At 45.7% G+C, this 16051-nt stretch overlaps 5 annotated features.

Moving 5' to 3' along the window:
• Positions 5206–5500: an enhancer, noted in NCBI's record as "tiled region #6245; HepG2 Activating DNase unmatched - State 8:EnhW, and K562 Activating non-DNase unmatched - State 21:Repr". NCBI's record gives its function as "activates a minimal TATA promoter and a strong SV40 promoter by Sharpr-MPRA in HepG2 cells, with weaker activation in K562 cells {active_cell/tissue: HepG2 | K562}" and the evidence as "EXISTENCE:reporter gene assay evidence [ECO:0000049][PMID:27701403]".
• Positions 5206–5560: a biological region, named in NCBI's record as "Sharpr-MPRA regulatory regions 3209 and 6245".
• Positions 5266–5560: an enhancer, noted in NCBI's record as "tiled region #3209; HepG2 Activating DNase matched - State 8:EnhW". NCBI's record gives its function as "activates a minimal TATA promoter and a strong SV40 promoter by Sharpr-MPRA in HepG2 cells {active_cell/tissue: HepG2}" and the evidence as "EXISTENCE:reporter gene assay evidence [ECO:0000049][PMID:27701403]".
• Positions 6267–6326: an enhancer, noted in NCBI's record as "active region_19751". NCBI's record gives its function as "activates an Ori minimal core promoter by ATAC-STARR-seq in GM12878 lymphoblastoid cells {active_cell/tissue: GM12878}" and the evidence as "EXISTENCE:reporter gene assay evidence [ECO:0000049][PMID:35858748]".
• Positions 7959–8008: an enhancer, noted in NCBI's record as "active region_19752". NCBI's record gives its function as "activates an Ori minimal core promoter by ATAC-STARR-seq in GM12878 lymphoblastoid cells {active_cell/tissue: GM12878}" and the evidence as "EXISTENCE:reporter gene assay evidence [ECO:0000049][PMID:35858748]".

The raw sequence follows: 16051 nt of genomic DNA on the forward strand, positions 1-16051 counted from the left end.
CACTATTGTAGATTGGCCTTTTGAGATATCTTTTCAGGTTTTTTGCATATCTGATACTGATGGCTCCTGTGGCCCCACCCAGAAGCAACTTAGCACAAGAGAACAGCTTCAACTCCTCATTATTTCATCTCCAACCCAACCAAACAGCAGCAAGCACCCATTGCATAGCCACCCCAACCCCTTCCCCAAGACTACCTTTGAAAAACTCCTAACCTATGAATCTTGAGGAGATTGATTTGAGTAATAATTCCATCTCCCAGGTGGCATGACCAGCCTCACATCAATTAATCCTCTTTCTTCACTGCAATGCCATGCTCTTTATTTGTGCAGCAGGCAGGAAACTCATCAGGTGGTTACAACTTCACCAAATAATTTAAAATGTGATGATTCTAACAATTGTCTGGGATGTGGGGAAATGGGTTCTCTGTACTATTCTATGGGAGGGTAAATTGGTACAGTCATTTTGGAGGGCAATTTGGCAATATCTATAAAATTTAAATATGCATCACCTTTAATTTAATCATCCATATTGTGGTTCTGAACTATAGAGATATGCTCATCTGTGTACACAAAGACATTTACTACAAATTTGTTTGCAAATATGAAAATTGGAAACACTCTAAATGGTCATCAGTTAGCGAATGGTCAGATCAATATTAAGAAATTCCATGGCCTAGTTGAAAACAGAGTTACTGACATGTACTGATGTAAAAAGAGCTCTAAGACATCACGTTTTTTAAAAAGCTGCAGAAAAATACATACAATGTGCTACATTAAAAAAAACACACACAAAACAAAACCTGTATTTTCATAGGTACTTACACTGTGAATAAACTCATAGGAAGAAGTGGAGGTTGAAGTCCAGACTGATAATAGCTGTTATTTCTGGGCAGCCAATCAGATGTCAGGGAGATTTATTATTTTAAATGCTAATAAGTGTAGATTAATTCATAAAATTAAAAATCAAAAATATTTTAAAGATAAGCAAATGAGAGAGGGAGCTGTATTCAGGGCCTTCAGGACATGTAGCAGCAACAGGTTTTTGCTTAGAAAGCAAGTCCCCAGAGTCTGGCTTGAGCTCAGTGTTTGGGGATTTCAGATCCCTGCATCAATCAGATATCTGCTTGGGAACTGGTGGGGGTAGGGGCAGGTGCATGGTGGCCCTGCAGAGTGTACAGACACAGAGTACAGAGCTGGGGGTGGAGCAGGATGTCTAGTGTCCAAGGGGTTGAGAACTGTTTCCCAAAACCCCGCTTCTACCAGGGCTCTCAGGAAGAAGAGAAACTTCTAACTAGACTTAGAGAGAGATTTTCATGTATTTATCAGGACACTGAAAAAACATTTATCGAAATTCTCATCCTTCATAATAAGCTACAGAAAAGGGAGTCCCACAGTCAGAAGAGTTGAAAGATGCTGTATACTATGGATAATAGAGCACACATTATGGTACCAAAGGCTTGAAATCCATAGTTCAGATACCTGCCTAACTCAGCACTTATTTATTTGATAAAGGACCCCCTCTAGTAAAAGCAAAGTAACATCCTAGGAAACTACTTTAGGAAACACTGTGTTGCCTCTTCCCATTTTTTTCCACATACTAATGAACATAAATGAGACAAGGAAAGGAGGTTTGCACAGCTGCTTGAAAAGAGAAAGGAGTAGCAGGGATAAATGTTGCCTGTCTCAAATATTGATTCTTACCTCAGTCCTCCTAAAGGAGCTGTTTCCACTGTGAGTTTAGATTCAAACAACACCACTGGGGGGGCCCTGCTGACTTGGTGTGACAAGGAGTTAGGGAGCATGGCATTCTCCTCCTGCCCAGAGGTACATGGAGTAGCTTTGGTACAATGAGGACTCACAGGCTAAGGCCACTGGAGCACCTGGAAGAACACAGCCAATGTCCTGGGGGCAGTGCCGACACTCCCCAGAGGCTCTGGAAACAGCAGCTGAGGTGGGGTTCTGGCCTCAGAGCAGGAGACAAAGACACAAGAGTCCGGGACAAAGATCATTAAACTCATCTCTGGAAACGTCTCAGTGAGCTACGAGGGGGCATAGAGGTTTTCATGGCGAGAGAAGCAAGGGCAATGAAATATACATTGTTCATTAGCATGAACTCACTGTATCCGCTGAGTGGTGGAGGGTGGGCATCTGGTTGTTTAGAAAAAGCTAGCTATAGGTCTTTCTGCATTCTAGGGCCCTTCTGCCTGATATCGTAGCCACTAGCCACATGTGGCTACAGAACACTAGAAAAGCGGTTTGTGCGAAGGGGGATGTGCTGTTAAGTGCAAACTACGCACCAAATTTAAAATAGCTCATGATCTGCCAGAATGAAAATATCTCATTATAATTTTCTTTTGCATAAACATTGAAAAGATAACATTTTGTATGTATTGGGTTAAGTAGAATATATTAAAATTAATCTCACCTCTTCCTTTTAATGTTTTAAACATAGCTAGTGGAATATCTAGCATTACTTCTATGGCCCATGTTATGTTTCCAGTGGATAATGTGGATAGGGGTTTAGCAGGAATCAGCTAGAGAGAAAACAGCCCTTTGGTTTGAGAGAGCAAGTTAATTGCTGGGTGTGGTGGTGTACCCCTCTAATCTCAGCTACTCAGGAGGTGGAGGCAGGAAGAATGCTTGAGGCCAGGAGTTTGAGACCAGCCTGGGCAACATAATGAGACCCCATCTCTAAAATATAAACACATAACATTTTTAAAAAGAAGAAACAGAACAAGTTATTGGACTCATAGTTGTGGGAGACTGCGAGGCAAGTGGGAGCTCAGTTGCTTCGTATAAGACAGTAGAAGAAAGAGGCAGCAGCCGAACTGCAGGAGGACAGGCAGTGTGGCGTGGGGCTGGGTCTCCACGGAGAAAGGAAATGGAGGAAGGATGGGAGGGGAGGGCCCAGCAATGGCAGTAGCAGGAGCCCAGGGAAACAGATGGCCAAGAAAGAACTCCCTGGGGCAGGGCCAACAATGAATTTTGCCAGCAGTGAGGACTGTTGATAGATGTTAACTGTGTTCCTTCTCTGTGCCTTAATACCCTCTGCTGTCCATATGCCCCAAGGGCAGAGTGTTTCACATGTGCTATGGGTTGGAGGCACTGCATGGGGTGGGGAGAGCTCTGTCCATGCTCAGGCAAAGCCTGTGAGCCTGTGGTGTGCAAAGGAATGGCCCAAGAGCCAGAGGCAAGGAGGAGCAGGGAGGCGGTCAGGCGACTGCGAGGAGACTGTGACACCCTAACATTTCTTGGAAGTACCCAGAAGAGCACTGGCCTGCTGACAGGGATGTACAAGGGGGCCGGAGATCTATGTTTGGCTTTTGAAGGAAAGGATTACTCCAGCAGGCTGGTGGACACTGGGACCTAGGCCATGTGATGGCCGGATGGTGTAATACCCTCTGCAGTGGTGCGCAGCAGCTGTCCTGGGAGAAGTGCACTGGCAATGCTGGGCAGAAGGTGATCAAGTGGAACAGGAGCAATGTTAAAATCTAACTCATGAGTAATATGGAAAGATCTCCAGGATACACTGTCAGGTAATCAAAGGCAGTGTCCCTGGAGGGTGTGCTATGCATTCTCCACGGGACCCCTGAGCTGTCCATACCTGCCTCCATAATGCTCTGTGTCCGGAGGCTGACTTGTAAAGACTGCATCCACAGGCCTCCTTGCCAGGCCTCCTTGCCTTATGACTTCTGGTAGGGATTGGCCAATGGGGGCCCTGCGGAAGGCCCAGAGAGTGGAAAGGGAGCGAGGTGGGGGTATTTACTCCTTGGCACCCCCCCCCCTCTGACTCCCCTGCATTTGCCAGCCCTGTTCCTCATTGCCTCCTGCACACCTAGTCCACACACCCTTGTGAACAGTTAAACCTTCCTCAGTTATCCGGCTGGAGCATGCCGTTTGCTTCCTATTCAGATTCTGACAGATACACAGGGAATACCATATGCTAACTTTTGTGTGCTTAACGGTGGTGGCAGCATGAAAATACATATTTGAATCTGCATAAAGAAATACTAGAAGAATGCATAAGAAGCTAATAAAAGTAGCTTCCCATAGGGGTATGGCAGAGGGACTGGGTGAACCAGGGTAGAGGTGGGCAAGATTTCCCATCATATCTAATTTATATTATTTTGATTTTTGAACCATGTGAGTGACTACTTATCAAACGAACTTAAATTGGAAATAATCTGTTCTACCCCTAAGTCTGATGATTTGGAGGTAACCAGTTTGATGCTGTCCAGACCTTTTACCAAGGAAGCTCCCAATTTTCTTTTTCTTTCTTTCTTTCTTTCTTTCTTTCTTTCTTTCTTTCTTTCTTTCTTTCTTTCTTTCTTTCTTTCTTTCTTCTTTCTCGCTCTCTCTCTTTTTTTTTCACTCTGTCGCCCAGGCTGGAGTGCAGTGGTGCGATCTTAGCTCACTGCAGCCTCTGCCCTCCAAGTTCAAGTGATTCTCCTGCCTTAGCCTCCCGAGTAGCTGGGATTACAGGTGCCTGCCACCGCACCTGGCTAATTTTTTGTATTTTTAGTAGAGACGGGGTTTCACCATCTTGGACAGGCTAGTCTTGAAATCCTAACCTCGTGATCCACCCACCTCGGCCTCCCAAAGTGCTGGGATTACAGCTGTAACCACCACGCCCGGCCGGAAGCTCTCAATTTTAACTCAAAAAATCCACAGCACCGAGGGAAGCAGCTCCTCCAAGCTGGCTGCATGAAGCAGGGCCACAGCCGACTGTCCCATCTGCTTCCCTGCTCCTGCCCTCCTAGAGCTCTGGCCTCAGCCATGGCATCCTAGAGATGGTGTTGCGGGGTTTGTCAACTGACCAGAAGAGAGAGCAAAATTAAATTACATATGAAGGTTGACTGTGGAAAACAAGAGGAGCCAATGTTGAGTAGCAGCATCTCAGTGAGACAGATGATGGCATTGCTTATGGTAACCCTCATCTTGAGAGGGGCTGTTCAGTCTGTGAGGTGCACCACTGGAAGCTTCCAAAAGGCCCAGCAAGACCCATTTCTGTGGCTGACTTGCCATGTGAAACACCCCAGGCATGTGGCCTGCACCTGGAGATGCCACACCCATGCCACCACCACCGTCACCCCGTACACCTTTTGTAAGTGTGCCCCCTGGGGCCTGGCACCAGAGACACACAGATCATGAGCGCAGAACCATACCTGGAGAGGCGCCTCCTGCAACATGAATATTCAACCTCACAGAGAATTTTGACCTTTGCTATTTCTCATTGGCTTTGTGGAATAATCAGAGGAGCCAGCGTGAGAACAAGGCTGGCATTCACAAAGCTTAGCTCTCATTTCCTCATTAATCCTCCGAGTCAGCATTACGAGGCAGGGAGAGGTCAAACACGATTATTGCCTTCATCCAGAACGGTAGGGTAATGGCCTGCCCTGTGTCATGCATGAGTCACAAGCAGAGTGGGGTCTAACCGTGATCTTTGGACCTTGGCTCCTGATTGCAATGGGAAGGTAGAGGTCACAGATGCACAGATTGGCAGAACAGTTACCTGAGCAGTGTGACTTCAAGTTCAAGGCAAAGATCTTCCTCTATGGTTCTGTCTACTGTTGCCCAAGTGGCTACCATTGGTCCTCCTTTGGTGTTAAGCATAGTTTACAGCCAGTATTTCCTAAATGGCCAGAATAGTTCATGGCCAATATTTCCCAAGTGTCTTGGACCAGGGGCTTGCTTTTGGCACTCCTGGTCCAAAATATTTGGGAAATACAGGCCGAGCGGACAGCTGGAGCTGCCTGAAGCATCGCTCCTGGGCCTTGGTAAAAACATCACCTCAATCTGTTCAAATGTTCCCCAAGCTCAGTTCATCAGTCTGGCTGAGTCCTGGGCAGACACGTAGGAAAAGTCCATTTTACTTCGGTAGGAGGGAGTCGCAGATGGCTCTGTGGAGAGATGGGGCCCACCCATCTCAGAGGCAGAAATGAGAGCAGGATGAATCCATGTCTGGGGCAGAAGCCGTGGAGGGAGACAAATGGCATGCAGGTCCTCCAAAAGCCAGCCAGGGGCCCCCTAGGCCGCACCCTGCCTCCAACTCACACTTAGCTTTTGGTGAAAGGCTTTTCCCTGTCTCTTCCAATTATTGCTCTTTTACCTTGTGCTAGGCTCTGGGATAAATCATTTTCATGTATTCTCACAATTTCCAGTGAAAATCTGACACTCAGAGAGGTGAACTGCTCATGCTTGCATAGCTGGGAAATGGTTGAGGTGGAATTTGAACTCCTGTCTGGCTGGAGTCTAAATGTTCCTGCTTCTCAGAACATTCCTATACATTTATTCACGGACCTAAACAAGTTGTGGGGAGGGAGAGGAAGAGGAATGAAGGGGACCAGCTCCGAGGCAGAGAGGAAATGGTGAGGTGGAGACACAGGAAATCCTGACTGTGTATGTATATGCTGTCAGCACGTAAACTGAGCTATTTTAAGGTCAAGGCCAGGGTGCAGCCCAACAGAATTGCGAAAGCAAAATGTGTTTGCTTCTGCAGTTGGCTTTTTAAATACATTTTTCTTTATTAATTGGAGCACTGGTGAACATCTGGGTCATCCTAAATTAGGCCTTTGACATTTGAAAAAATAATCTCAGGTAACAGAGTAAATGGTTCAGGCTCTGTGGCCAGAAGTCTCCTGGTCTCTGACATCCAATCTGTTTCTGCTCACCTGGTCCCTCTTTTTAATAAACTTGCTGGAAAGAGCTCCAGAGAAAAGGGGACCGTCCTGAGAAACTGTGGCCGAGCAAATGCAGCAAAAGACAGGTCCAGCAGAAGTTGGTGGCCACAAATCCAGCAGCCCCTGCAGACAAAGTCCTTAGATAGTTGGGCTCATGTGACTCTTCTGCATACCCCATGGGCAGCATCTGCAAGGGGGTCGTGGGAGTTCTATAGCCCTGTGTGCCCTTTAGGGCGTAGGATCCCCCAACCCTCCACCAAAGCTTCCCATGCAAGTCGAGCTCAAATGCCCACCAATTACAGCCACTGTCACTCCCAGCTCTGGCATGCTAGGTGACCTTGAATAAGTTACTTAACTTCTCCATCCCTCTGTTTTCTTATCTGTAAGATGAGTGTGATAATAACATAAGTGACCTTATGGGGTTGTGATGGGATAAAATGAGACAATACAGGCAAGGCGCTTGAACAGTTCGGGGCACACTGAGCACCATGCAAGCATGTGCGATTCTTCCTTGTTCTGGCTGTGGAGAACATGGGGGAGGGAGGATTGATTGCACACCTTCTGTGTGTCAGAGGGTTTCCACAGATGACCTCTAATGCTTCCTATAATCCCTTAAGAAAGGGGTCATCACCAAAGTTTACAGTTAGGGCACCAAGTCTCGGAGGGGATCAGTAACTTTGCCTAAGGTCACAGGGTTTGGAGACACGTGTCAGGGTTTGTACTCACATAACCCTGACTTCAAAATCTATTATCTGAGTCATTCCACACCTCCTCCCTAAACCACACCTGGCCCGAATTACGTGTAACACCTGCTCAGATGGTTTGGTGATTAAACCGCAGCCTTGGGGGCAGGATCTGGGAAGCTGGACCATGCTCACTCATGACTCCCCGGGATGGGTCTTTTCTATCATTCACAGTTCCCGTTGGTGGCCCAGTGTGGAGTGACCAGAGATGTCACGTTAAGGGAACTGAAAAGTGAGAACAAAGCTAGAAGAGGAGATGGGATCTTGAGGGCAGGAAGGGACACATTCCAGCAGAAACATTCCTGTGTTTTTGGCCTGGCTTTTCACCTGTCCCCCAGGAAAGCTGGCCCCAGGCAGAGTGACACGTGTGAGGAGACTCCTAGGAAAGTCACTCCCTGTGACCGAGGCACCTCCCTGGGCTGGTCCTTGCACCTGTCATCTCATGCACTCTCTACGGGAACTAATGATGATGATTATGCATTTTATAGAGAGGTCACTGAAGCGCATTAAAGTGAAACAAGTTGCTCCAAGCCACACGGCGGAGGAAGATTCAACCTTGAGTCTGGGGTTCAAAGTCTCTGCATTTTCTATGACAGATCCCTTCGCGATAGCAATGGCGCTGCTCGTATAATAGATAATATGTGATAGGGCACTGGCCAAGGCTGGGCTTCTATCAGGGACAAACCCAGGGACAATAACCTATGGGTTATATTCTTTTTATTTTCATTTATTTATTTTTTAATTTTAATTTTTTTTTTTTTTTTTGAGAAGGAGTCTCGCCTTGTCACCCAGCCTGGAGTGCAGTGTCACAATCTCTGCTCACTGCAACCTCTGCCTTCCAGGTTCAAGCAATTCTCCTGTCTCAGCCTCCCAAGTGGCTGGGACTACAGGCGCACATCACCACACCCAGCTAACTTTTGTATTTTTAGTAGAGATGGGGTTTCACCATATTGGTCAGGCTGGTCTCGAACTCCTTACCTCAGGCGATCCACCTGCCTCTGCCTCCCACACTGCTAGGATTACAGGCTTGAGCCACTGTGCCTGGACATATTGTCTTTTTAGACTCTTGTCCCTGAGAGGGACAAGAGGAAACCAAGGGGGCTGGGCTTCTAGGAGGAAAGAGGACATGAAAGCACAGGAGACAGAGAGACAGATAAGTTAAGGAAGAGGAGAAAGGCAAGGAGAAAGAAGAAAATTGGGGAAACAAAGGGAATATATAGACTGTGGGAATGAGTGAGAGACAGCTAGAGCCTAACACAGCCTGCTTGCAAAGCGACAATCTGGGCCTCTGTACTTGATACCTGCCCTGTTCCTGCACCCAATGCTCCAGGAGCTTCATGGTCATCCCCGGAGAGAAGGTCATCTCCTGTCCTGGGAAGGCACTGGGCTGGCTCCGGGGGCTCACTGGAACATTAACAGCCACAGACAGGCACACACACTTGACCTAAGATTCCCAGCATATTACTTCAGTCACTGGCAACTGGAGTGCAAAACCTGCTTGCAATCCCTGAAATTGTGCGAGAGAAGGAAATGCGGCAGCTCATGAGATGCATATTAGGAAAAACATGGAAGAATTTCTCAGAGTCCAAGGTTACCCTTTTTTTTTTTTTGAGACAGAGTCTCACTCTGTCACCCAGGCTGGAGGGCAGTGGTGTGATCTCGGCTCACTGCAAGCTCTGCCTCCTGGGTTCAAGCAATTCTACTGCCTCAGCCTCTGGAGTAGCTGGGATTACAGGCGTGTGCCACCACGCCTGGCTAATTTTTGTATTTTTAGTAGAGACAGGGTTTCATATATTGGCCAGGCTGGTCTCAAACTCCTGACCTCAGGTGATCCACCTTCCTCATCCTCCCAAAGTGCTGGGATTATAGGCATAAGTCACCCCGCCTGATCGTCATTTCCCTTTTAAAGATACTGGCCAGGGAGGTCCTTTGACATCATCATCTTCATTATGGAGATCAAGGAGCCAGAAGATGAAGGAGCCAGAAGGTCACTGGGCTGGGCCTCTGGTCTCATTGAGGGTTTGAGAATGAGGGGAGAGGAGTAGCCATAGGCATGTCCTTTATGTTCTTGCCACTCATGTCTAGGCCCTGGTTTTCCTTACTTGTCAAATGGGAATAATAATGCCTTGCTTCCCTTTTTTACAGGGGGTTGTGAAAAAAATAAGTCAATGAATGTGGAACATTCGTTAACAAAGGCATTCATTAACAAAGGCATTATCATTGTCAACATGCTGACAAGTTAAACATATCCATCTTAAGGCTAAGTCAGATTCCAAAAGCAGAACTTTCTTTATTTGCAGTTTCAAAGAGCAGAAACAGCAAGACCTTTCTCCCTCTATCCTAAAGTGTTTCCAGAATGTTCTAACGAGCATGAGCCAATGATAAGCATCAGTTGTTTTTGTCTGTTCAACAGATGTTCTCCTTGTTTTCTATAACAGCAGTTCATCTGACATTAGAAAATGCTTTCAACATAGGTAGAAATGTTAACCCAGTCCCACTCCAACCCATAAGGCCAAGCAGATCCTTTCTTCCCAGGAATTTCAATCTTGGTGGAGCCACACAAGGATAAAAATCAATTGACCCTGACACATGCCTTTCTCTGGGGCTACTTGTGTGTCCTTTCATGCATTTCTCTTTTGCTCGAGTCAGCTGAGATCTGATTAATTTCTGTTGCTTGCAGTCAGAAATCCCAACCTGAGGGTCCTACTTTGTCCTTCCCTTAAGGACTCAGAGATAGGGAAGCTCAGGAGAGAAACAGGAACTGTGGAAAAATTTCCCAGATGATGGGGAGACGGGGTCAGGGAGACGGAGCAGCCCAGTGCAGAAGTAGATCAGATTAGATCAGAACCCAGGAGAGAACCTGTAAACACTGGCTGATGTGGTAGGGACATAATACACTCAAACAGGCCATAGGGATTGGGGTCTTCCTCCTAGCCCCTAGCTTGAGCCCTCCTCTCTGTGACACCAAGCTAGGCCCTATCATGCCTAGCTTTGATAGGGCTCCTGTATTTCCCTCTGGCTCACATTTCTATATTTGATCTTGATTAGGGCAATGAAAGGCTCTGGGATTGGCTTGTCCAACTCCCTCATTGTCTTCAGATAGAGAAAGTGAGGACCAAAGACAATAGGAGTCTTTTGGTCCTTTGTAAGCTTGCTTTTTGTTTCTATCTGAGCTTATCCCACAAACAGCTTAAGAACCCCCGAAGAGCTCCTTCTAGGGAGGGCCAGGCACTGGCAGGACCTCACCACCACCACTTAGACCCAGATGGAGACCAGGAATGGTTTCTACGGTGGCCTAGCTTAAGAGTGAAGTCACAGAGGGGCCTGCAGGATTGGCAAGGTCACCAGTCATTCCCACTAGCTGTACTTTTGGCAGATCAGCTTTTTGTTGGGCATGGGTCAGGCCTTCTCAAAGTGCTCCTCAAGATGAGGCTCAGAGAGGCAACATAAATCATGAAAGGGCCAGCCGTGGGCTCTTCACACAATCCCCTACCATCTTGCTAAAAGTTGAAGGGCAGCACAGCCATACCTCATACATGGTAGCTTATTTTTGGCTGATGAAAGGCCCCAGATACTCAGGCTCCTTAGCAGAGATGTGGGACTTAGGGAGGAAGAACTGTTCATTGGCAATGATGAGCGGCAAGTGATCCCTTTATGGCCCGGAAAGGTCCTTTGGACACTCACGCAGAGCACCAAGGAGATGGAACTCAGCCACCCAACTTGCCCAATTCTGGACTCCTCTCACCTGCCTCAGCCAGGACCAGGGATGGAACAGGGAAGCGGGGAGCAAAGGCCTTCAACCCAGAATGCTCTAGGAGGGGACACTGTGCAACCCAGGCATGATGAGTCCTCTCTGTGAAATAGGGAAAGTCAGAGAACCAGACCTACAGTCAGGCACTGTCAAAAGTTTATGATCCTAATTTCCCAGGGAGCCACAGCCCCTCTCAATTTTGGGGCCTTGCAGGTTCCGCTGCTCCCAGTGGACCAATCCTCTCTCTCCTGGGTGCCTGGGCCACATCCTAGTGGGAGCTGATGTGATTGGCTCAGCTCCAATGACCTTCACATCTCATGGGTCAGGTACCAACAATGGACGAGCTTCCTTGGGTCACCCTTCACCCAGCCAGTGTCATCCCTGAGGAAGGTCAGGACAGGCTGGCAGGTGTCATAGCTGACAAGTCTGGTCACACCCCAGGAGCTGGCCAAGACTCACGTTTGGCACTCACAGTCATAGTCCAAGCAAATTGGGGAGCAGGTGACCTCACTCATGTGGCACAGGGCTTGGTGACCCCTGCCAGGCCCCCCAGTATTTCCCCACTCGATCACCTTTGGCCATGTTAAGAGGACATTGTTAGTCCTGATATTTTTCTTGCTTGTCCTTTGTTAGGGGTAATAAAAATGCCCTAAGAAACTTCACATTAACAAAGTTGTATTCTAAGTCTTAAACAAACAAACAAAAAGGATAAACAGGTTTGTGGGCTAGAGAGCTTCAGATTTATAATAGCAATGCCATTCGTTTGCAGTAGGAATGTCAGTGATAAAGATCTTTTAAATAGCTGTGTGTTGTTTGTTATTCTACGTAAAATTACTCAGCTGGATGATGAAAATGGTGAAAACACAGTGCAACATGACCAAGCAGACCTTGAAGTGTACAATACATCAGGGCATTTTGGGATCATCTAATAAATGGCAGTGCAGTTCCCAACTCCAAACAGAAGAACATGTGAAGCTTCAGCAACCTGATCAGGCCACGTAGGAGCCGACTGTGGTGGCACCATGCACGTAACTGGCCTCAACCGAGTGACCACCCCGTATCCTGTCCTCATTCAGGAAATGCCTCCATCTGCCTTCAGCACTAAATTGAGTTCAATTTCCTTGCCCATTGTCACTTTAACCAAGCGGGAGGAGGCACTGCTCCACCACCTTCCTGCCCCAAGATCCAGACATAGACGCTGCTCCACTCTCTGTAACTGCATGAGATAGGGCAGGTTATGGGACCTCTCTGTGCTTCGGTTTCCTCCTAGGTAAAATGGAAGTGAAGCACCACCTTATAAGGGTGTTTTGAAGTTTAGCATCAGGCATGGAGTAACTGTTCTTAATTATTTGCTGCTTTATTAATAGTATAATCATCACAGGGATTTTCTTAGCTCCTCCAGAGATGAGCTCTTCACCCTCATTGCTACTTGCATGTCTGAGATGGCCTAGGACATACTGATTGATTCATTCATTCATTGAGTTTATCAAATATTTACCAAGTGCTAACTATGTGCTATGCCCTGGGGTCATAATGATGTTATATCTGAGAGATGTTCAATGGTCTTTTTATCCATTTCTTTGGCATTCTAGTGTGGCTTCCTGATTGCCTACACTTAGTGGTACTGATGCAGACTAACAGCTATCATCAATTGGGCACCTACCATAAACCAAGTAATTTATATACACATTATCCAATTAGTTCCTTACACAACCCTAAGTGCTATGTGTTGCTACCTTCACTTTCAGCCAAGAAAACTGAGGCATAGAGAGGTTAAGTAACTCGTTCACATTCCTACAGTGAGATAGCCTCAGCATCAGGATTTGAACAGACATCTGTTTGAGTCCTAACCTCTCCACCATGCTCTGGGAAGCCAAGGGAAGGTGGGAACCCCCTCCCTGTTCTGGAGGGCCATCTTCCTGGTCACAGCAAGACACTCCCTTAGTTTTATCCGTGAGAAGCTGAAAACCCTTCAGCAGCTTCTATTCCCACTACTACACAAATCGTCCTGTGACCAGGGGTGTAAGCAGCCAAGTTTTTTCATGGGGCTGTGTACAAGAATTCCCTTTTCTCTACATCCTTACCAACACTTTTATTTTATCTTTTTGATAACAGCCATCCTAACAGGTATGAGGTGATGCCTCATTGTGGTTTTAATTTGCATTTCTCTGATGATTAATAATGTTAAGCATTTTTTCCATATACTTGTTGGCCATTTATATGATTTTAAGAAAGGAGAAAGGAAGAAAGGAAGGAAGGAAAGAAAGGAAAGAAAGGAAAAGAAAGGATAGATTATTGATTTTGAAATGTTAATTTTGTATCCTGCAACTTTACTGAATTTATTAGTTCTAATAGTTTTTTGTGAAGTCTTCAGGGTTTTTTAATAGATGGTATCACCTGCAAACACAGACAATTTTGCTTCTTCCTTTCAATTTGGATGCCTTTTATTTCTTTTTCTTTCCTATTGCTCTGGCTAGGACTTCCAGTAAGTACTTTACTAAATAGAAGTGGTGAGAGTGGACATCCTTATCTTGTTTCCAATCTTAGAGGAAAAGCTTTCAACTTTTTCCATTGAGTATAATATTAGCTGTGGACTTGTCACATAGGGCATTTGCTATGTTGAGGTACATTTTTTCTATCTATAATTTTTGAGAGTTTTAATCATGAAAAGATGTTAAATTTTGTCAAATGCTTTTTCTGCATTTATTGAGATGCAGAAAATCTCATTATTTTAATTCTTCATTCTGTCAATGCGGTATGTCATTTATTAATTTGCGTATGTTGACCCATCCTTACATTCCAGAGATAAATACCACTTGATTGTGGTGTATGATCCTTTAACATGCTGTTGAATTTGGTTTGCTAGTATTTTGTTGAGGATTTTTGTTTCTATGTTCAGCAGAGATATTGGCCTGTAATTTTCTTTTCCTGTAGTATCCTTGTCTGGCTTGGTATTAGAGTACCAAACCAAATCACTCAGGCACAGAGAAACAGCATGGAATTCTGGCAAAAGAACCACCATGCTTGCCTCTACCCAGCTGGCAGAGGCCTCTACTCACTCTTGAAAATGCACTTGCCTTTGTCATATACAGAAAGCCCATATATAACCATCCCTTCCCATTAGTTCTCTTCAGTCCATCAGCTAACACACAATGAGATGAAGTTCTAAGGTACCCAGCATAGTCCCAGGGTTTGTGGGAGACACAGAGGTCCACTATGGGAGCTCATAGCCTGCAAGGTAAACTAACTTATTTGTCTATTCTCTTTGTCCTTTGCACATTGGACTACGTCAATGACATCTGTTACATAATTTTCAAAATGTAACCAGTGTTGAAAACCTGCCTGCCCTTTAAACCAGCAAATCCAATTCCAGGAATTTAGCTTAAGGAAATTGTAAAAAATATGAACCAATTTATCTAAAAGAAGGTTTAGGTATTTTTTTTAATAGTAGAAAAGGATTGGAAGCAAACCAGATAACCAACAATAAGAGACAGGTTATTAAAAGATGGGTATACCACACAATGGAATGACATTTGTCCATTAAGGCAATTTTAAAAGTATATGTATTAGAAGGAGAGTCTTGATGTTTTAGGTGAAAGGAGCAGTTATAAAATATGCTATAAGCATACTGTATAATCCATCTGTGTGTCTGTGTGTGCCCACATGTGCGTGCACATCTCTTTGCATATTGATATCTACACATGACATAGTGGTTTGTTTTTCATTGTCTTTGTAAGAGCTGTGCCAGGTTCCCCTTGTTCACCACTGGAAGAGTGAATCACCACTTCCAAGGATGCTAAAGGAGTCTTTTGTCTTTTAGAAGTTATGTTGATGAAGGTTTGAAAGTGAGGATAGCTTATCCCCATAAGATGTTTCCATCCAAGTGGAGACAGCACCCCTGATATGGCACTTCTGGACTCTCTCCACCCTCTTCAGTCCCCCTGCCCTGGAGGGAGAGGTTATTCTGATTGTGAGTTTGGGAGGAGAAGCTGGACAGCACAGCCCAGAACTTCTTGGGTCTACTCACCCATGTTGTACATCTCATAGGGACCGGATCCTTGGTCCAACTCTGCCATGTTTGGGTGGGTGAGATGCCTAATTCAGGGGTTCAGCACTTGGAAAGACATGAAGCCAACGATGAGCCTTTCTCCAACATCTGCTTTATCTGTATAAGTGGCATTCTGGCTTTCATCTGCCTTATTACTCCTTTGTTTTATTTCTTAACGGGTTCAGAATTGGTTCAATTATTTCTTAATTGGTTCAAGTGAGAAAGTGAGAAAGGGGATGTCATTCACTGGGCCCCCTTCAAACACCTTAACATTCAGGGTCTTCTCTTGGAGGTAACACTATACTGCAAGAAAGGGAGTGGAATCAACTCATTTTGTTTCAAGGTTTGAAAGCTAAGCTGACTGATCCCTGGGGGCTTATCCATGGTGAGGGGAAGGAAACTGAGAACTGGACATCCAAAGGATTCTGACTGTGCACTGCAAGAGCAGGTGGAGTTGTGTGGGGTTGGTCGTGCATGGGACTATGAATAGTGACCTTGAGATCCTAGCTTTGGGTGCCCTTGACCATCATGCACTGGAGGAATTTGGGCAACTTGAGCAGGAGGTACAAGGAGTGAGGTCATCAAGGAATACTCCTCAGCCATATCTATCTGACCACAAATGTTCATCTTTCATCTGTGATGTGAGGTGGTCACTAAAGGCAAGAGAAGCTTGCTGTAGTCAAATATTAAGGGTCAGAGCTCTTCCCACTTAAGAATGGAAATTGTACCATTTTTGTACAAACTCAGGGTCAGTTTCTGGGCCACCCAGGGATCTGGGGTTGCCCCAAGAAGAAGAGGTCATTCTTCCTTTTAATCTAGGACCCACTCC

Source organism: Homo sapiens, chromosome 3 (assembly GCF_000001405.40).
Source record: "Homo sapiens chromosome 3, GRCh38.p14 Primary Assembly".
Lineage (NCBI taxonomy): Eukaryota > Metazoa > Chordata > Mammalia > Primates > Hominidae > Homo > Homo sapiens.